Source organism: Homo sapiens, chromosome 2 (genome assembly GCF_000001405.40).
Source record: "Homo sapiens chromosome 2, GRCh38.p14 Primary Assembly".
Taxonomy (NCBI): domain Eukaryota; kingdom Metazoa; phylum Chordata; class Mammalia; order Primates; family Hominidae; genus Homo; species Homo sapiens.
Genome location: NC_000002.12, coordinates 60972798 through 60995071, shown reverse-complemented (window position 1 = coordinate 60995071; position 22274 = coordinate 60972798). Strand labels below are relative to the sequence as shown.

At 40.9% G+C, this 22274-nt stretch overlaps 1 protein-coding gene across 22 annotated transcripts in view, besides 1 other annotated feature; it reads left to right on the top strand.

Annotated features, from left to right (window-relative positions):
• Positions 1-22274, top strand: part of PUS10 (pseudouridine synthase 10) — a 78037-nt gene that overhangs the window by 23188 nt on the left and 32575 nt on the right. The gene's annotated exons all lie outside the window — the stretch shown is intronic.
• Positions 1777-2126: an enhancer, noted in NCBI's record as "active region_15826". NCBI's record gives its function as "activates an Ori minimal core promoter by ATAC-STARR-seq in GM12878 lymphoblastoid cells {active_cell/tissue: GM12878}" and the evidence as "EXISTENCE:reporter gene assay evidence [ECO:0000049][PMID:35858748]".

Sequence of the window (22274 nt, the reverse complement as noted above, 5' to 3'; positions counted from 1 at the left end):
GTCACCCAGGCTGGAGTGCAGTGGTGTGATCTTGGCTTACTGCAATTTCCACCTCCCGGGTTCTAGCGATTCTCCTGCCTCAGGCTCCCAGGTAGCTGGGACTACAGACGCTCGTCACCTTGCCCGGCTGATTTTTTGTATTTTTAGTAGAGACAGGGTTTTGCCTTGTTGGCCAGGCTGGTCTCAAACTCCTGACCTCAGGTGATCCGCCTGCTTCAGCCTCCCAAAATGCTGGGATTATAGGCGTGAGCCACTGCACCCGGCCTTGGTCAGATTTCAAAAGGGTTATTGTCTTTCTGTGTTATAAGTGGGACTTAGCCTAGGTTTTGACTTTAGTATTTTCTTTCTCCAAATGGTCCAGTATCTTCAAGGTTAGGGAAAGGATTCTTGGTAAAAATATGAAACCAGAACTCTCATAATTATTTAACAAGTGTGATCATTTAAAAAGAGTAATGGTAAACCACCAGTTTATTTTGTGATTCTCTAAAATGATAACTCTGGAAATAAAATTTAAATTACAATTTTAGCACTTTCCCATCACATTTATGTTCAGGTTTTGTTATCAGATGACTGGAATAGGTGCAAAGATGTTTTGAGTCAAATATTTTATTACAGCACCTATCTTAAAATTCAGGAATTTCAAGTCATTTTTGTGAGGAGCTATTTTTGACTTCCTTTTTTTTTTTTGCTCTGAGGAAGATTGATGCATGTATGTGTGATGATGAATTATGATGGTGAAGTCCCTTAATTGGAGGTGGAAGTCCCAATGAAGTTTTTAGCCACATCCTTTGTCATGGATATGTCCAAATGTCCAAGAAGAGGGGGCTAGGTGGCAAGTGCTACCTTGAAGTCAGACACATCCAAACTCATTGTCAGAAACCTCTTTCTTAAGGAATAGTACTACTACTTTCTTCCCTCCAAGCAGAAGGAAGGACCAGCAAAATAGTCTTTGGCCAGGTTTGTCAGTTACGAAGTGTCGATCTGGCCGGGCGCGGTGGCTCACGCCTGTAATCCCAGCACTGTGGGAGGCCGAGGCAGGCAGATCACGAGGTCAGGAGATCGAGACCATCCTGGCTAACAGGGTGAAACCCCATCTCTACTAAAAATACAAAAAATTTGCCAGGCTTGGTGGCAGGCGCCTGTAGTCCCAGCTACTCGGGAGGCTGAGAAAGGAGAATGGCGTGAACATGGGAGGCGGAACTTGCAGTGAGCCGAGATCGCGCCACTGCACTCCAGACTGGGCAACAGAGCAAGACTCCATCTCAAAAAAAAAAGTGTCAATCAATTGCAGTGCTACAGCTGCTCCTCCTTTTTAAAATTAGGTTTTACTGCTCCAAATATTGAAAGTTATTTTTACAAATCTTCCCTTTTAAATAAAACTGAATATATTTTTCCTCACTGATATTAATACAGGATCAATACTAGTGGAATCTGTTTTCTAGACTAGATACCATTCAAGGCCCCAGGTGGAAATGTTTAGCTGGGAATTTTGTCTTAAAAAACTGAGTATCTTTCTCCTTGCCATTATGTTTATTATGCAAAGTTATCCAGTTTTTCTTAATGTAATACATATTTTCCAGTCAATTTGGACCTTTCTTTTTTTCTTTTTTTTTTTGAGACAGAGTCTCACCCTGTCTCCCAGGCTGGAGTGCAGTGGCATGATCTCAGCTCACTGCAACGTCCACCTCACGGGTTCAAGTGATTCTTCTGCCTCAGCCTGTCAAGTAGCGGGGACTGCAGCCATGTGCCGCCACACCTGGCTAATTTTTTTGTATTCTTAGTAGAGATGGGGTTTCACCATGTTGGCCAGGATGGTGTCAATCTCCTGACCTTGTGGTCTGCCTGCCTCAGCCTTCCAAAGTCCTCGGATTACAGGTGTGAGCCACTGCGCCTGGCCTGGACACTTTCATAATTTATAAAACTCTGATGTAAAAAACCCTAGTTGAGCACTGGATTGACATTTCACAGGGCTACTTCCTTTTTATTGTGTGTAGCTTTTGGTTTCACAATTAGTGCGTCAGAGATCAGCTGGATATATGGCAGTCTCCAGAGCCAGGGCAAGAGTGCTCAGCACGTACTTGCAGAGGGCTAGTTTTTTATCTTTAAAAATTAAATCCATGGCAAATTAAAGAGCCATATATCGTATTCATTAAATTATAATTTGAAAGCTACTTGTGTAAGTAAATGTTGCGGTATCGAGTATGATCAAAACCTTTGATTCTTTTTTCTGGTGGAATCTAAGTTTCTCTCTAAACTGGTTGTTAAAATGTTATTGCCAGTAGCTGAGTAAAGATAATGTGAGGGGAACTAACTTGTGTGGGGAAAAAATAAAATGGATTTTATTTAAATGTGGTCATGAGCCATATAAAAGGAAATGAAATAATAAAATAGATGCAAAGGTATTAACATAAATAGCCCTTTTAGTCTTATATTAAGAAGCATAATATGAAGTGATTTCTATTTAGAATTTAGTTCACATCCAGGATTTAAATTTTCTGTGAGGCTGGGGTGTTATGATGTGTATTGATTATCTGATATTCCTTTAGTATTATCACTAGAAATTCATATTAGAAATCGTGAGTTGGTGATTTTAGTGAGACTTTCATATTCTGAAAGCATCACAGAAATTCATGACCTGTTGTGGAGTGGGCATGTGCACTCATGCCCTATTGAGTAAATCAGTAGCTAGTCATGAATGCTAAATTTGTATTCCAAAACATTTTTTTTTAAATGTAGACATGTATTAAGGTACTTCTGGCTGCGTATAGTGGCTTATGCCTATAATCCCAGCACTTTGGGAGGCTAAGACAGGGGAATCACTTGAGGCTAGAAGTTCACGACCAGCTTGGTCAACATGGCGAAAACCCGTCTCTACTAAAAATGTAATGTAAAAATTAGCTGGGTGTGGTGGCAGGCACCTGTAGTCCCAGCTACTTGGAAGCTGAGGCAGGAGAATCGCTTGAACCCAGGAAGTGGAGGTTGCAGTTAGCTGAGATCGCACCACTATACTCCAGCCTGGGTGACAGAGCGAAACCCTGTCTCAAAAAAAAAAAAAAAAAGTGCTTCTGTTGAGTAACATTCAATCTGCAACTTGTTTCTTAGGTGGCATGCAGCAACTGATATTTCAGTTACTGCTTTATTGGTCTGGCCCCAGGGAGGTGTCCCCTACCACGTTAAATTGGAGGTCATATGGTCTGTGCACAATGACTTTTCCCCTCCAATTTTCGTAATATTTATTTCTTTTTCTTGCTTTGTTGCATTGGCTAAGATCGCTAGTACATTGTTAAACAGAATTAGGGATAATGAGAATTCTTTTGGATTATTTTTCTGTTTGAATTCTACCCCCTCACACATATCATTATCTTAGAAGTTATGCATTTACAGTTTTTCCTTTACTCTTAAAAGTACTAATTAAATTGGTACTCCCATTTCTACAAAAAATAAAAAATTAGCTGGACATGGTGGTGCATGCCTGTAGTCCCAGCTATTCAAGAGGCTGAGATAGGAGGATTGTTTGAGCCCAGGAAGTTGAGGCTGCAGTGAGCCAAGATTGAGCCATTGCACTCCATCCTGGATGACAGAGTGAGACTCTCTCTCTCAAATAAAAATAAATACTTTTATCTTTCCCAGAGAATGCAAAGACCTTGGAATACTTGGATTCCTTGTATCTCTTAATTTACATTTCATTGTGTGTGTTTTAATTTGACACATGTTTAAATCTCATGTGACATTATTTTATACAAGTAATATTCTATACAATCAGTCAATATTCACAGATTTACCTACATATTCATCTTGTGTATTACCCTTTATTTCAGCTGTCATCTGGGATTATATTCTTCTGCATGAAGAATATCCTTTAGTTTAGTTTTTGTTTTTTAAAGTATAGGTCAGGCCAGGTGCAGGGACTCATGCCTGTAATCCCAGCATTTTAGGAGACTGAGGCAGGAGGATTGCCTGAGCCCAGGAGTTTGAGACCAGCCTGGGCAACATAGAGAGACTCCGTCTCTACAAAAAAATAAAATGTTAGGCCAGGCATGGTTGTTCACACCTGTAATTTCAGCACTTTAGGGGGCCAACTCAGGATCATTTGAGCCCAGGAGTTCAAGACCAGCCTGGGCAGCATAACAAGACCTCATGTCAACAAAAAATGAAGAAAGTTATCTGGGCTTGGTGGTGTGCACCTGTAGTCCCAGCTACTCAGGAGGCTGAGGTGGGAGGATTGCTTGAACCCAGACGTGGAGGCTGCAGTGAGCTGAGATTATGCCACTGCACTCCAGCCTGGACAACAGAGTGAGACCCTGTCTCAAAAGAAAAGAAAAGAAAAGAAAATTTGGACATTGATTATGAAAAATATAATTTGAAACTAAAATAATGTTCTCCTCCAGAGAGGATTTTTGTTTTCTTCTGAGTTCTAGCTAGGGGCATTAGCAATTCTGAATTACCTTAATCCAGCCACAGGGATTGCAATTACCTTAATCCAGCTACAGGGATTGCAGTGATTTGAAGTTGATCTTTAACACCTTTAAGGACTGTTCTCGTCCCCATTTACCCCTGCTTCTAGGGTGTCATGCTTCATGGTTTCAGCCAAAACATAGGGCTTATCAGGATTCCCTCTCTCTCTTCTGACAACAGATGCCCCTTAGGGAAAAGCTGCTCAAAACACCTGGCTCATCTTTGGTTCCCTTCTTCTGAATTTTGGCCCTGTAACTCTTCACTACCTTGTTAACTTTCTGATGTCTTCATGCAATTTTTTTTTAGTTGTCCAGCTTTTCTAGTTGTCCTCAGGAGGGTTGATCCACTATTAACAAATTTTCTCAACTTTGTTTTCCAATCTTGTTTAGCTTTTCATAAATAGTAATACTATGTTTTTAATTCCAAGACCTTTTCTGTTTTCTAGGTTTTTTTTCCCGTGCGTGCGTGTGAGTATGTGTATGGGTGTTTTAGAAAAATAGGATCCTATTCTTGTTAAACACAATATTTTATCTTTCTGAGAATATCAATATGTGTTGCTATTGTGTAATTTTTTTGTCTCTAGTTTCTTAAAGTTACTTTTTTCAGTTTATTTTGGTACCTTCTATGTCAAGTTGCCTGCTTATTGTTGGTGAGTTGGTCATATTGAAGAGTACAGAATAAGAAGCAGTTGAGCCTGGGCGTGGTGGCTCATGCCTGTAATCTTAGCACTTTGGGAGGCCGAGGCGGATGGATCACTTTAAGTCAGGAGTTCGAGACCAGCCTGGCCAACATGGTGAAAGCCCATCTCTACTAAAAATATATTTTTAAAAATTAGCCGGGCATGGTGGTGGGTGCCTGTAGTCCCAGCTACTTGGGAGGCTGAGGCAGGAGAATAGCTTGAGCTCAGGAGGAGGAGGTTGCAGTGAGCTGAGATTGCACTTGGGCAACAAGAGTGAAACTCTGTCTCAGAAAAAAAAAAAGAATAAGCAGTTGGAAGCTAGATATGTGAATAAAGAGGGAAGATTCACTGTGAGCTTTACCGAATACTGAGCTATCTGTCTTCATTTAGGTCTTGGGCAGGTGACATTTCTTTATAGAGATGCAGTCTCCTATCTAGCAATCTGCCAAGGTCCAAAAACGGGTGGGGCCTGGGGTTATGTGTGTATGTCATCATCTTTCTGCCTATGTTTACTCAGTGAAGTATTAATGCCCTTAAATGTGACTCAAAAGACTCAATCAAAAGACCTTCATTTTACCATCTCCAGGAAATAAAACTCTGTTCTTTTACTAGGGTTAGAGAGGGACATTCACCTGGCTGCATGGAGTGGGGTAGGGGATCTGAGAATCTGCCTCTTTTGCAAACAGTCAATTTTCTTTATTCCTACCCTTTACCTTCCACCACCACTTCCAGAATTCCTTGGTGCTGCTTATTTCCAGAATTCCTTGGTGCTGCTTAACTCCTGTTTTTATTGTGGAGTATTCATTTCTTCTGCTGCCAATTTAGGATTCAACTTTTGGGATGTCTGCTAAGTCCTTTACCACTGTTCAATCTGCTTTCTAGCTTTCAAATTGTTGCTATTCCCTGCACTCCTACTGTCCCCATCCTAGTGGATTTTATGCAGTTTTAACAAACCTCTGTACTGCTGTTTTAGGGGCTTAACAAAAGCGCATGCCTGGCCAGGTGGTGGGGCTCATGCCTGTAATCCCAGCACTTTGAGAAGCCAAGGCAGGTGGATCACCTGAGGTCAGGAGTTTGAGACCAGCCTGGCCAACCTGGCAAAACCCCGTCTCTACTAAAAAAAAAAAAAAAAAAATTAACCCGGTATGGTGGCGCGCACTTGTAATCCCAGCTATTCGGGAGGCTGAGGCAGGAGAATCACCTGAACCCAGGAGGCAGAGGTTGCAGTGAGCCGAGATTGCACCGTTGCACTCCAGCCTGGGCTACAGAGCAAGACTCCATCTCAAAAAACAAACAAACAAAAACCGCATCCTCAAATTTGATCTTCCCTTTTTACCAAGAAGGCCAGTTATATTTGTTTACTTTTAAGATAAAATTTTTGCATTTGTCTAATTTTAATTTGTATTATAGTTACATTATTTGTATTTACTGCATTAAGCAAATTACTAAGACCAAAGTGTACTATATTGTTTTTTTTTCATCTGTAAGATCAGAAATACTTTCTTACACTAAAGCAACCCTAATGGAAATCTACCAATCTAGTTTTTATTTTACAAACTAATTACAGGGAGGACTATGAGGAGAAAACATGTCAAAATTTTATTTATAGTAGTTTATATTCTTTTTGGCAATTAATATTAGAATTTACACCTAACAGTGACCCTTAGAATGTTTGCAGATTTTAAGGTTATGTAATGGAGGAGTAGTTGGCTAAAGAGAAATGTAGAAAAAATTCATTACTGGTTATTCTCATAATGTATTTAATAATCATTTTTGACATCTCGTGAGCCTAGGCCTTTTAAAGTTTGTTTAGTTATTTAATTAAATTTATTTATTTATTTATTTATTTTAGACGGAGTCTTGCTCTCTCACCCAGGCTGGAGTGCAGTGGTACGATCTCAGCTCACTGCACCCTCCTCCTCCCAGGTTCAAGAGATTCTCCTGCCTCAGCCTCCCAAATAGCTGGGACTACAGGCGTGTGCCACCATGCCTGGCTAATTTTTTTTTTTTTTCTTGAGACAGAGGCTCTCTGTGTCCCCCAGGCTGGAGTGCAGTCGCATGATCTAGGCTCACTGCCAGTTTAGTATGCCTCCACCTCCTGGGCTCAAGCTTTTCTCCTACCTCAGCCTTATGAGCAGCAGAGATTACAGGCAGGCCCAGCTAATTTTTGTGTTTTTAGTAGAGATGGGGTTTCGTGATGTTGGCCAAGCTTGTCTCGAACTCCTGACCTCAAGTGATCTGCCCGCTTCAGCATCCCAAAGTGCGGCACGAGCCACTGCACTGACCTGTTTAGCTATTTTAGCTTCTATTTTTATATCATACTGTACACAATTAGTGGTGATATATGAATAGCTCATCACATTGCCATTCTCCAAAAATTTGCTTGAAATTTCCCACACACCAAAGCTTTGTCATTAGACCTTGCCTTTAGACAGGTTGTCACCAAATTATTTTCAGGAATCTGTGGTTCCTTTTTTCTTCTTCCTTTTTTTTCTCTCTCTCTCACTTTCTATATTTTTCTCCTTCTCTTTCTTCCTCCCTCCCTTCCTCTCTTCCTTGCAAATATTACATCAAGGTGTCCTAATAAAGATAGTGGCAGGATTTAAATTGGACAGGAATTAAGGTCCAGGGACCCCTGCCTTTCTCCTTTCCCGTGTCTTATTGCATTTTGTCACTGGGTGTGTGGTTAAATCTGCCTTGGTCATTCATTACGTCTTGCACACCTGTTAACAAGCATTCATAGCTAGAAACTAACCCACTGCAGATACTGTTCCATTCTCAGATTCATGGCAAATTTTGATAAATATCATATCATCTACTTTAAACTTTTAGACTAAAACTAGAAAATTTGGAAAGATCAAAGCTTGAGGAGATCCTTTTTAATTTAATGGATTTTAAGAAGCAACTTAATTTATTTTTCGAATTACTGAACAGAGAGTCAGAAGACCTGTATTATAAAAACAACAATTAACATTCTCATAAACTATCTCATTTAAACTTCCAATTTTACAAGAAACCTCTTTTTTCCTGTCTTCTAGATGGGGAAAGAAACACCCAAAGGGCACAGAACTTGCTCTAAATCACTTGCTGGCTAAGTAGGAGAGAGAGCTTGAACCCAGTTCTTTCTGTCTCCGAATCCCTTGCTTTGTTTGGGATTCTTTATGACCTCCTTCCTATGCTGTTCTGATACTACTTAGGCAAGTCCCTGGAAAGAAAAGGAGATGGCAGGCACACTAAACTAGCAGATTGAAGAGTTAACTGTTTATATTGGAAAGATTTTGTTTGAAGTTTTTGGTGTATTGCTTTAATAAATTTAGAAAGACTTAAATATCAACAGCTTGACATATAACCAAACCTATTTTTCACAAAATTCATATAATTTTAAGAAAAGTGCAAAATTCACTAAGTTTAGGAAGATGTTTCTTTAAAAATAAAATTATGATATATGGGGCTTGTGTGCATTTCACAGTTTACAAAGCATTCATTCTATATCATAATACCTCTAAAATTTAGCTGTTGCATTTATGGGGAATGAGGTTTACCTTCAAATAAATGGGTAACTCTTCTCTTTGAAATGAAAATAAAATATAGAAAATTTTAAAACAGGTAGTTTTATTACATTCAAATGCATGTGGTAACTTAAACTAGGTCAACATAGTCCATTCATTAAATTTCAGCTTGAAAGAATCCTTGGAGTTATCTTTTAATGAATAGATAAAACCAAATTTGTAATTAGCATGTTAATTATATGGTCTTTAAAAATGTATGGGAGAGCACTTTAAAACTGTTTTTTTAAAACATTTAAAGCATTGTCCCTGAAAATCTGGTTTGTGTTATTGATCTATCAATGAAGGAAGTACTTGCTAAAGAAAGGTAAATCCTCCCCAACCCATTCAAAAACATCACACATTCTGAATTAGTAGGTACTTTTAATGCATTTTCCTTTGATTTCCCTGATGCAAAAGTAGAAGTAACTTTTTTTTTTTTTTTTTTTTTTTTGGTGAAGTCTGGTTTCTCCTATAACAAGTGTTCTAATCTTACGAGCATATTTCTGAAGGATTGCAGACCCAACCTAGAGTAAACCCATTAGATACGGCCCCATCCAAATAAGACACTGAGGAATAAAAAAGAGAAAAGGCCGGGTGCAGTGGCTAACACCTCTGTAGTCCCAGAACTTTAGGAAGCTAGATGGGTGGATTGCTTGAGGCCAGGAGTTCAAGACTAACCTGGCCAACATGGCGAAACCCCATCTCTACTAAAAATACAAAAATTAGCTGGCTGTGGTGGCACATGCCTGTAATTCCCGCTACTCGGGAGGCTGAGGTGTTAGAATCGCTTGAACCCAGGAATCAGAGGTTGTAGTGAGCTGAGATCATGCCACTGCACTCCAGCTTGAGCAACACAGTGAGATCCTGTTTCAAAAAAAAAGAGAGAAAAAAATATTTCATCTTTAGCACAAAGTCCTCATAGAAATAATAAATTTCAAAAAACCTATAAATTTTTCAAAAGTAAAAATTTATTCTCATCCCAAAAATAGAAACTGTTTTGTACTGTTCCTCTGTTTTTCATTGCTGAGAGGTGATAGTGAAGCAGCAAGGATCCTATAAATATAGTACATTTTAAAATAAAATAGACCTCAACCTATTAGATAATATTTAAATGAGGATTCCTCAAACTAATAGTACCCAAGCAAATATACTATGTAACACTTTAAAATTTTGTGATCTAATATTCCTTTTAATTTCTTTTTAGTAAATTGATTTGATAATAAATTGAGATATAATTCATTTTAGCAAACTTACTGTTATACAAAAGATAACTTAGATAATTGGTTGTGAGTTTTTAAAATAACCTTTAAATTTCTGAAAAGGATTCACAAGTATTACATTTAATTTTTTTCTTTTTTAAATTATAAAAACAGCACATGCTTACTGAAAGTGCCAAACAACTCAGAAGTATGTAAAGTTAACATTAGTCTCTCTCTTTCTCTTCCTCTTTTCTACTTCCCATTTTCTGGAGTAACATTTTGGTAATCTCTTTCTGAGACCTTTTGCTATATACATATTAACGTATACCTGCATGTACTGCACATAGTTTGGGTTTGTTTGCTTTAGTGAAACATACATGTCCTGCAAACTTTTTACCTTGCAACAACCATTGACAACCTTCAACTGTGTTAGAACTTACAGAGCTCACATATGCATATATGAGCTTTCCCGTACAGATGGTTAAATCAGAATTTCTTAAATTAATTCATTTATCCAGTTGAAGAATATTCAGATCACCTTCAGTTTTCAGTTTTTATTATTATAAATGGAATTTGCAATGAACATACTTGTATATGGAGTCTAGTATTTCTATATTTTGGTCTGATAAATTCTTAGAATTGGAACTGCTGAATTGATGGGAATACAGATTTAGAATTGTGATAGGTATTTCCAAATTGCCCTCCTAAAAGGTGGTACCAGTTTACAGCAGTGTATTACAACCCCATGTCTTTTTCAAACCTGAAGTTACACTCTTCGGTATTTTCTAACCTATATGCAAAAGTTTTCTTGTTTTAGTTCACACTTGTACTATTTGATTTTCAGGTGAACTTTTACATCTTTTTATATGTTTACTAGCCATCTGGGTTTCTATTTTCTGGTTATTTGGCTTTTTAAAATTGATTAGTAAGTGCTCTTTGGACATAGTGACTATTAATCTTTCATCAATTCTGTTTCTCCCACCCAGCCTGACATTTGCCATTTACCTTTGTTTGTGGTCATTTAACAAACATAAATTTCTAATTTTATGGAACTTTTCATCTAGGAACAAATTTATCTGTACTTTTTCAATATTTGTTTTGATCTTTCAATTATATTATAGTTTTTCCTCACACATTTATTTATTCCTATGTGTTTTTAAATGTTTTTTATTTTTGATTTTAGTTGAAATTTGAGTGGAATCTCTTTTTCCCATAATTTTTTTTCTTTGGCTATTAGGAAAGTAATATATGCATGTTTGTAGGTGTGTGTGTTTAATGTTTGTCTTGGAACTGACTAACTTGCAGGTCTCTATTATTAATCCTAGTGGTTTTTCAGTTATTATCTAGGTATGCAGTTACCTTATTTGCAAATAATGATAGTTTTGTCATTTCTTTTTTACTATTTTAAAAATATATACAGTATATTTAGGTGTATCATATGTGTATATTTTAATACTAAGTATATTGTTAGCTCTATTCTGATAGGTACACTTTATCTAATTTTTTTTTTTTTGAGATGCAATTTTGCTCTTGTTGCCAAGGCTGAAGTGCAATGATGCGATCTCGGCTCACTGCAACCTCCGCCTCCCTGGTTCAAGCGATTCTCCTGCCTCAGCTTTCTGAGTAGCTGGGATTACATGCGCTACCATGCTCAGCTAATTTTTTTGTATTTTTTAGTAGAGAGGGGTTTCACCATGTTGGTCAGGCTGGTCTCAAACTCCTGACCTCAGGTGATCCACCTGCCTCAGCCTCGCAAAGTGCTGGGATTACAGGCGTGAGCCACCGCGCCCAGCCTATCCTTTATTTAATGAAATTTGCTTCTATTCCAAGTATAGTATGTTGTGTTAAAAATAATAAATAGATATTTGTAATAATTATATTTTTCTCCTTTTATCTATTTTGTAGTCAAGTAAACTAATAATTTCCTTGTGTTGAATTTGTGTTGTTTTCTTGAAATAAGCATTTTTCATTCTGATTATAGTAACAATTAGACTTAAGGGCTGGGTGTGGTGGCTTATGCCTGTAATCCCAGCACTTTGGGAGACCAAGGCAGGAGGATTGCTTAAGGCCAGGATTTTGAAACCAGCATGGTCAACGTAGTGAGACCCCCATCTCTACCAAGACAAAAAATTAGCTAGGTATGGTGGTGCATGCCTGTAGTCCCAGCTACTCAAGACTATATTTTTGTCTGATAAATTCTTAGAATTGGAAATGCTGAATTGAAGGGAATACAATTCAGCTGGCTGAGGTGGAGGATCACTTGAGCCTGGGAGTTAGAGGCTGCAGTGAGTCATGATCGCGCCACTGAGCTCCAGCCTGGGTGTCAGAAAGAGACCCTGTCTCAAAAAAAAAAAAATTCGACTTAATATTTTATTTAGGATATTTACATACATAGATATTTGGTTTAGGTATTAAATCATGCAATTAGATTTTATATTAGATTATGTAAAACTTTTGGAAAGAACTGTGAGGTTTTCTTACGCTTTGAAAATTTTAACAACAAAGAAATTATCTGTTTTTGTTTCTTGAAATGTTGTTAAATTCACTTATAAAATGATATTAGATGGTTATAAAGGTAGGTCTTTATTACTTTTTCAATTTCTTCTATTAAAAGTTATTGTTCTATCTGGCCAGGCATGGTGGCTCACGCCTGTAATCCCAGCACTTTGGGAGGCTGAGGCAGATGGATCATTTGAGGTCAGGAGTTTGAGACCAGCCTGGCCAACATTGCAAAACCCTGCCTCTACTAAAAATACAAAAATTAGCTGGGTGTGGTGGTGCACACCTGTAATCCCAGCTACTCGGGAGGCTGAGACACAAGCATTGCATGAACCCAGGAGGTGGAAGTTTCAGTAAGCCAAGATCGTGCCACTGCACTGCAGCCTGGGTGACAGAGCAAGACTCTGTCTCCAAAAAATAAATAAATAAATAAATAAAATAAATAAATAAATCCAGGGATCAAGATAAAGACAGATTTTCTGGAGAGAGGAGAGAAGTAAGTATACGGAGTTCCTGCTGGAGTCAGGCAGTCCTGTAGTCCTGGGACCAAATACCTGCATTGTGACTAGGAGGAAGTTAGAGGCCTCTTTATTTTTTTATTATTTTTATTTTTTTAATGGAGATGGAAAAAGAAAAGTTATTGGTCAATCTGTTTTTTCCCTCTTCTTGAGTCAAATTTTGATTAATTAAATATTAGCTATTTAATTACCAAATAATTAATTTGTTACTTTACTTTCCTTCAAAATTGTTTGTTTCAAAGTGTGGTCTAGCAACCCCTAGAAGTCCTTGCAAGGGGTTCACGAGGTCAAAAGTATTTTTATAGTTTATAATAATTTGCTTTTTTCACTCTCATTCTTTTAAGAGTATACAGTGGAGTTTTCCAGAGGCTATGTGATTACAGCAAATTGAATGTAGAGGCAGAATGAAAATCCAGGTATCTCCTATTAAGATGTATATTAAAGAGATTTGCAAAAATGTACCACAGCATCAGTTTTCTCACTAAATTATTTTGTTTGAAAAATATATTTTTCAAGAAAAGTTATTTATGTTAACACATAATGGATTTATTACTTTGTCATTAATTTTTAATGAATTAATAAATATTTTTTAGGCCAGGCACGGTGGCTCACGCCAATAATCCCAGCACTTTGGGAGGCCAAGGCAGGCAGATCACCTGAGGTCAGGAGTTCAAGACTAGCCTGGCCAACATGGTGAAACCCCATCTCCACTAAAATACAAAAATTAGCTAGATGTGGTGGCGGGCACCTGTAATCCCAGCTACTTGGGAGGCTGAGGCAGGAGAATCGCTTGAACCTGGGAGGCAAAAGTTGCAGTGAGCCGAAATCTTGCTGTTGCACTCCAGCCTGGGTGACAGAGCGAGACTCAGTCTCAAAAAAAATAATTTAATTTATGGTTTTAATTGCTAATATGGTAAATATTGATAGCTATAACCAACATAAACAAAAGCTACTTGAGGTTCTTAAAAACTTAAGAATGTAGGCTTGGCGTGGTGGCTCACACCTGTAATCCCAGCACTTTGCGAGGCCAAGGCAGGTGGATCACCTGAGGTCAGGAGTTTGAGACAAGCCTGGCCAACATGGCGAAACCCCATCTCTACTAAAAAAATACAAAAATTAGCCAGGCATGGTGGCGCGTGCCTGTAGTCCCAGCTACTCAGGAGGCTGAGGCAGGAGAATCGCTTGAGCCCAGGAGGAGAGGTTGCAGTGAGACGAGATTGTGTCATTGCACTCCAGCCTGGGCAACAGAGTGAGTCTCTGTCTCATAAAAAAAAGAATGTAATGGGTCCTTAACCAAACTGTTAGAGAACCACTGATCTACATATAACAATTTAATTTTTTTGAAGGTGCCTGTACTCATCTTCTATAATTCTTTAAATCTTCTTTGAATAGAATAGTCTACTGTACGTGTGTATATATCTTCATCTATATATATAATTACATTTTACATGCATTTTTGTTTTTACACATTTATTGTGTGTTCATGTGTGTTTGTCAGCAGAACTGCAACTTAAATGGAAGCACTGACCTACTTGGTGTTTTGGTTCTTTCTTGTGGCTGATTTTGTCCACAGGCCAAGTTTCTATAAGTGATTTAGTTATGTGAGCTAGTGGATTTCTGATGATAGTGTTGGATGAAAGGCACAGAGTTCCGTAGCCACAGGCAGGAACAGTTGGTGGGAGATGGGTGGTCCTCCAGGGAAGCTGCCATCACAGGTCAGCCTTATCCTCTGATGGTTGTGCTGGATTTCTTGCAACTTGTATTGTGCTCAAGGCAGGAACTCAGAGGTATCCTTAGAATGGGGCTTCACTGTACAAAGTCCTGGCCACTATAAATGTTTCAGAGAAGATGCTGGCTCTCTAAAACCAAATTCAAAGAGGGAGTACATTTGCACTTCTCAGCCACACCCGGCTGCCAACAGATGTTTGAGATCCTTGTTTCACTGAGGTTATTAACTCTAGAGTTACCTGAAATTCAGTTGCTATGTGTGTTCTCTCTCATTTTCATATGACACTAAAGAACAGTACTGAGCCATATCTGTCTTCATTTATCTATCCCAGAGCCTTTTCTTTATTGTAACTGTTGTGTCTTTTCTGATCCCCCTCCCTGCTTCTACTCCTACCCCACCCCACTTGCAGAATTTCCTCTTGTTATTTCCAATCAAATCCTTCATTTCTAAACAAACATCAGCACCTACAGTGTTGGAAGATGCAATACAATTTCCTTAAAACTCACAACATAAAAATAGCAATTCCAGGAACTGGAGTAATAGAGCTGTAAAACCTAATTTGGCCCCACAGATTCATTCTATGCTGATCTGTCCTTGCTTTTCCCCTCTTGACTTGTCCAAAAAGAAGATCTTCAACCTTTTCAATGCTATCTAAAAGTTCTTATTGCCAAAGTAGAGAGAAAACCTAGAGTTAAATGATCTCTTCTTATGTCTCACTTCATTTTCTTTTTTCTCAACCATGTAGGGAAAGAAAAGAGGATTTTGATGGGTTTTTAAACATGGCCAACATAGGTTTTATTTATCAGAGGAGACACCTAGATTCAGTCTGTTACATTCATTTAATCACACGTCTGACATCCAAGCCTTTGGGGAAAAGAAGAAAGTTTTGAGATGGGGAGGTGGCGGGGGTGAGGAGATGGTGGTGGTGCAAGAGTCAACTAAGTGGTAGATCAAACAGTGGTTATAGGAAAATATTCCCCCTTCCTCTCTTACCTTCCTCTTTTTTGCCACCACGCCTGAGACACAAGGAGAGGCAGATGTTCAAGGTTATAGCATGCTGCCACAACCCTGACACACGGTGAGGCACAGGCCCTGATGGAGCAGAAGCTTAAGGCACTAGCATGCTGGGGATGGGGAGGAGGAGAAGGAGGAAATCTTAGGCAGTGGTCTGGATAGAGAGAAGGAAGAAGAATTTCTCTTGTCACTAACCTCCTTATTGAGCCCAGTTTCCAAATGGCTATTACAGTGCAAGAAAAAATTACATAAATGTTTGTATGTATGTATGCATATGTGTATGTGTATGTGTATGTGTATGTGTATGTGTATGTGTATGTGTATGTGTTGGGAGAAGAGTTTGGAGCAGGGGGTACTGCTAAATGCCTCCAGCTGCCCACACAACTATTGTCATTTTTCTATTGTCATTATTCTCAGTCTATATTTATTTTATCTTTGTTATTATAAATGAGTCCAAGAGATGTGTAAGATTCAAAAGAATATAGTTTGAAGGGCATTGGTGGTGATTTAGAAACCTCAACATCACTGCCAATCAGCAAGTCCTGCCAATCTGTGTTCTCAATAGTTCTTAAAGTTGCCTACACTTTATCATCACTAGCATTGCTGTAATATATTTTTTCTTGCTTGAATTACTGCTTTAGTTTACGACAAATCTTCCTTTTCTTTAATTCCCATCTTTTTCTTCTAATTCACAATGCAACCAGAGTGGGCATTCCTGAAGACAAATATGATCATGCTACTTCATTCCTTAAAATCCTTCTGTGGGACCATATTGCCTTAAGGGGAATATCTAAACCCCTTAGTATGGGTCCAGTAGTTCTGTGATCTAAGTCCTGCTTCCTCCTTTGCATTTCCCAGCCACACATCCTCAGTTCTTTAGGGACCACTGACATAGTCCCCAGAACCTTCCCAGTGCTCTCTGGCATTTGCACCTTTGGGTTTCCTCTGTTTGGAACATACTTTCCACGTTTTTCACCCTGTGAATTCTTTTTTTTTTTTTTTTTTTTTTAAGATGGAGTCTCACTCTGTTGCCCAGGCTGGAGTACAGTGGTGCAATCTCAGCTCACTGCAACTTCCGCCTCCCAGGTTCAAGCGATTCTCCTGCCTCAGTCTCCCTAGTAGCTGGGATTACAGGTGCGCACCACCACACCCGGCTAATTTTTGTATTTTTAGTAGAGATGGGGTTTCACCATGTTGGCCAGGGTGGTCTTGAACTCCTGGCCTCAGGTGATCCACCCTCCTCAGCCTCCCAAAGTGCTGGGATTATAGGCGGGAGCCCCAAGCCGGCCTGCCCTGTGAATTGTAAGTAGCTGATCCTTCGAAGCTCAGATTAGGTGTCACTTCTCCTGCAAGACTGAGCCGAGGATCCTTTACATGCCCCTCCTAAGTGTGTCTCTGTCTCAGCCCCCACCACTCTGTATTTTAATTATTTTCATTACTGTTACTATTAATAGCTTAATGTTTATTATCGTTTTGTCTTAGTTCATGGGTTTGCTCATGGGCAGAGACTGTTTTTTTATCTCTGCATTCTCAATTGCAATCTCACCACATAGGCAGTACCCCCTAAATAAATTGAATACCTTCCTCTTACGGTTTGAGAAACCCAGAGAGAGAAGCCACCTTGCTAGTGATCACATAAGAGAAGCAGAGCCTGCCTTTTGATCTAGTGTTTGTTTCCCTCCATCAGGAATTACAGACTCAGATGTCTATAAGAGCCAGATAGACAACAAAAATGAGAAAAGTGGGCTGGACACATTCTCTCATTTTTCTGGAAAATATGACTTTCTCACAGTATACTTTCCCATGTATGATAAAGAAATATTTTAGCACAAGACATATTTTCCTCTTAAACTACCACACAAGAAAAACAATAGTACAAAAATGATGGTTATATTGCAACTTGATGAATTATAGAAGATTCAAATATCAAATGTTTCTTTGTGCTGCCGCGAGTCTTGGCCTATACGTAAATGAATCACATCTCATGTTATGGTTTCAGTCTTTGGGTTCATGACCTAGCTTGGCAATCAAAACCTTCTGAACTTTCCAGTTTCATCTTTAATCGCTGAACCCCTAACCTCACTTATGAACACACATAACATACCCCAAAGTGTCCAACTTTACTGAATTGTAGTTTTGCAACACACCATTTTTAACACCTCTCTCTGTCTCTATCCTTTCTCCATCACCTCTGCTTGAATCAACTTCAATCCCTGTTCCTACTGTCACCCACTCTCATTATTTGGTACTAGATGAACCTCTAACTCAGAAAGCTCAAACACCATTCCCGGGCATAGACCTTCTGGTCTATGGTGTGTGTGTTAGTGTTAGCAGAGTACACAAGCACTTTAGCAAGCACTTATTCAACTGCCCCATTTAGGACTTGCCTAACATTCTCCAATAAAGTTAAACATAGTCCAGGATTAAATTGTGTTTTCTTAATTTTCCAGAGGTGACATACTGCCTCTGGTATCAAATTTGATTAAACCTGATAACTTTAATGCCATTTGCTTCTGTTGGGGAGGAAAAATTTTTTTGTTTACTCTAGAGAATAGATTTTTTTCTATTCACTAAGGGACAGAACATTTATCAAAATTATCTTGGTGATTTGAAAGGGAGAAATATACTTCTTTTTCCTTGCCAGAAGCAGGTCCAGGGCATTATTAGCTTGTGGTAACAATTGAATAATCCAGCAATGCTGACTTATTTGAGATTCAGCCTTTAAGCCCCTGCTGTGTGGTTAGTTCTGTCCAATCTGCTGGCATGCTGGAGCAGGGAGCCTGCAGAGGCTTTGGAAGGAAAAACCATTTAACAAGTCTCAGATACTAAAGACATTTGATTTAATTTCATGTGTTACACATGGTTACCTGGTTTCCCTTGGCAACCTCCAGTTCCGCCCTACTTTATAATTAGAGGATGGTGGGATACATTGCAGACTTGATGACATCACCTGGAAGTGACTTGTAGAGAACAGAGTTTGCTTCAAAAGAAGAGACACAAAGGTCACTAAGAAAAGACGGAAGAGTCTGAGGTTCCTTAAAGAAGAGACAGATAGCTCTCTATAGCTCAGATTTCATTGAAGAGGGAGGTTTCAGAACTAGCTATAGCAAAGCAGTTTGGAAATATGACGGAATGAGATCAAGTCCTGTAAATCTTTTAAGGTATAAATCTGAATTTTATTATTTGTAAAGTACAGATAAGGTTTCAGTTCAACAACAGTATTAATTACCATTTATTCAGTATTTGCCAGGAATATGACTTGGGTCTTTACAAACACATTAAATCATCACAATAGTCCTGCAAGGGAAGTATTAATATTTTTGTATATATAAGGACATGTGTTTATTGATCTCTTAAAGAAGGAGGCTGGGCCAGGAGAGGTGGCTCATGCCTGTAATCCCAGCACTTTGAGAGGCCGAGGTAGGCAGATCACTTAAGGTCAGGAGTTTCAGACCAGCCTGGCCAACATGATGAAACCCGGTCTCTACTAAAAATATAAAAATTAGCTGGATGTGGTGGCGGGTGCCTGTACTCCCAGGTACTTAGGAGGCTGAGGCAGGAGAATCGTTTGAAACGGGGAGGAGGAGGGTGCAGTGAGCCGAGATCGTGCTACAGCACTCCAGCCTGGGTGACAGAGTGAGACTCTGTCTCAAAATAAAAGAAAAAAAACAAAGAAAAAGAATGAGGCTGAAGGAAGGGCGGGACAAAATTAACTACAAGGTTTCAGTTTTAGGAGACCATTATTCTTTTTTTTTTTTTTTTTTGAATGCTCCCTAAGTCCCATAGGTCTCAGTCGTCTATTATAAAACAGTTTAATAACAGTGCCTATAAATGATTTCTTTAGGCATCCAGAAAAGTTTAAATTACAATCATCTTAGTAATTCTCTCATTTTACACATTAGAAAGTTGAGTCCCAGAAATTAAGTAAAACCTAAAGTTAGGTTTTCTGACTCATAGTAATTTGTGTGTTATAATACTATGATACTGTCTGGGTGCAGTGGCTCATGTCTATAATCGTAGCACTTTGGGAGGCCAAGGCGGGCGGATCACGAGGTCAAGATACTGAGACCATCCTGGCCAACAAGGTGAAACCCTGTCTCTACTAAAAATACAAAAATTAGCTGGGTGTGGTGGCGTGCACCTGTAGTCCCAGCTACTCGGGAGGCAGAGGCAGGAGGATTGCTTGAACCCAGGAGGTGGAGGTTGCAGTGACCCGAGATCACGCCATAGCACTCCAGCCTGGGCGACAGAGTGAGGCTCCGTCTCAAACAAACAAACAAACAGAACCATGATACTATGCCCATGCATTTTGAAATAAGGCTCTAATAAATGAAAGGAAAAAAGGAAGGGGTCTTGTAATACTACTACTATAAATGTATTAGGTTGAGCTAGCAGAGTAAACTAACACATCAGAAGGTACTGGTGAGACATTCAGGCACTGGTGTTACGGGATCCTTGGGGTGTTGCTTCGCCAGCTGGAAACCTCTGTGGACAGTGGCGTCTTTGCCCGAGTTTTTCTCTAGCCCGCTAGGCTCGTTCTGTCCACTCGGCCTGGCACGCTACGCCTGGGTCTGATGCCTGCCAAGGGCAAGCCAGGCGTGGAGCAGCGAGAGGTGTGTGAGTGAGCATGGGGTCCAGCCATCGCACACAGCAGGCACGCTGGCTGCAGTGGGGCAGGCAGCTCCACGCGCAGTCATGGCTCCCTGTGAAGCTGAGGCTGGACCAGAAATACCATAAACAGCTTCCACAGCTGACCCCGGGGAATATGGTGGCACCTGGAAATTTGGAGACGCTAGAAACCGCAGAGCCCTAAAGAGGGTGTCACGCCCTGGCTCAGGGAGCTCCTAGGTCTGGGTTCCCGGCCACAGCTCTTCTCTTCCTCTCTCTTCTCTCCTTCTCGTCCCCCGTGGTGAGCAAGGGGCGTGTTTCAGCCCTGTTTGTTTTACAGCTCTTTTAGCCCCACCATTTGTCAGGTCCTGAGTTCTTGTCTTGCGTCCAGGAAGAATGAGGTATGCAAACAAGTGGAGGATGAGCAAGATGAAAAGGAGCTTTATGGGCGTGGTGGCACGCGCCTGTAGTCCCAGCTACTTGAGAGGCTGAGGCAGGAGAAACACTTGAACTCGGGAGGCGGAGGTTGCAGTGAGCTGGTATCGCACCACTGCACTCCAGCCTGGTGACAGAGCAAGACTCCATCTCCAAAAAAAAAAAAAAAAAAAAAAGGAGCTTTATCAAGTGGTAGAACAGTTCAGAGAAGACCCACAGTGGGTAGGGTAGCTCCTCTGCATAGCCAGGGTGTCCCGATAAGTGTTCAGCTCTCAGCAGAGAGAGTAGCTCCTCTGTGCAGGCAGGTCGTCCTGTCATTCTTCAGCTCTCAGCAGAGAGGGTAGCTCTTCTCTGCAGGCAGGTCGTCTGTCATTTCTTCAGCTCTGAGCAGAGAGGAAAGCTCCTCTCTGCAGGCAGGTCGTCCTATCGTTTCTTCAGCTCTCAGCAGAGAGACTCTGGGGTGGATAGCTCCTCTCTGCTGTTGGTTGTCCCCTCATCTCTTTGGGTCTGGCTGAGTCCAGGGCTTTATATGGGCCTCAGAGGGGAGGAAGTGTGTGCCAATTGGTCCATGGGCAGCCATGGGTGGGCCTGGAAAAAGGACCACAAGTTCCTACTCCTGTCCCGGGGACTGGCAGCCCAGCCCCCAGGCTTCAGGCCCTCCCTGGCTTGAAGGTGGGGCTTCACTGTGGACCTGCCGCTTTCTGCCCAGGAACCTCTCTGCCTCCTGCTGCTGTTCATGGCGCCCTGGCTGTTCTTGCCAAGGGGCGCCTGCAGGCCAGCACCAAACTGCCCTCAGCCCCTCCTTGGCCTCCCTCCCGTACTTGTTGGTGCCCAAAGTCTACAGGGGGCTGAGGCAGCATGGGGCTGGCGTGTCAGCACTGCCATGAGTGTGCACACACCTGGCTGGGCTGCGACAGTGCCCAGGCTCGGCTCCAACCCTTCTCCGAGATTGGTGCAGGCACTGGGAGCAGGGAGAGGTCAGGGAGCGGGAGCAGACCCCTCCAGGCCTGTGGGGACAACGGGGGGGCCTTCCCGGGTCCCTGAAAGTGCAGAGATGCTTAGGTCCACAGCCGCAAGTTGGGTGAGACTCCAGGGACTGCCTGCCTCTTTGCGTTTTCCCCACAGCAGAGGCCGCCCCAGCCAACCCCGTGCAAATTAACCCGACACTTTCAGGGCTGGCCCCACGAGTCCCGGCTGTGCCTTTGGCCGGGTGCTTGTGGACCCCTGAGATGGTGATGGGGAGCGAGGTTGAGGCCGGGACGGAGGCTTTGGGCCTGAGAACAGGTCCTGGCCGGCCATGCGAGAGCAGAGGTGGCACAGTTGGCTGCCTCGGGGATGTGGAGCACAGGGGTCCCACCGCCGCCACTGCTGCTCCCACAACCCCTCCTGCCGCCACCGCCCACACCTCCCGGCTGCAGCAGGCTTGATGGCAGCAGCTACTCCGGACGGTCCACACTGCCATCACTGGAAACAGGTTGTGCCCAGTTAGCGGTTAATTTATTCTACTTGGCTGACGTCTGAAAGAATTAATGCAGCTAATCTTTCCAAGTGATCATCAGTCTTTAGGAGTCCATAGAGTACCCTACTGGT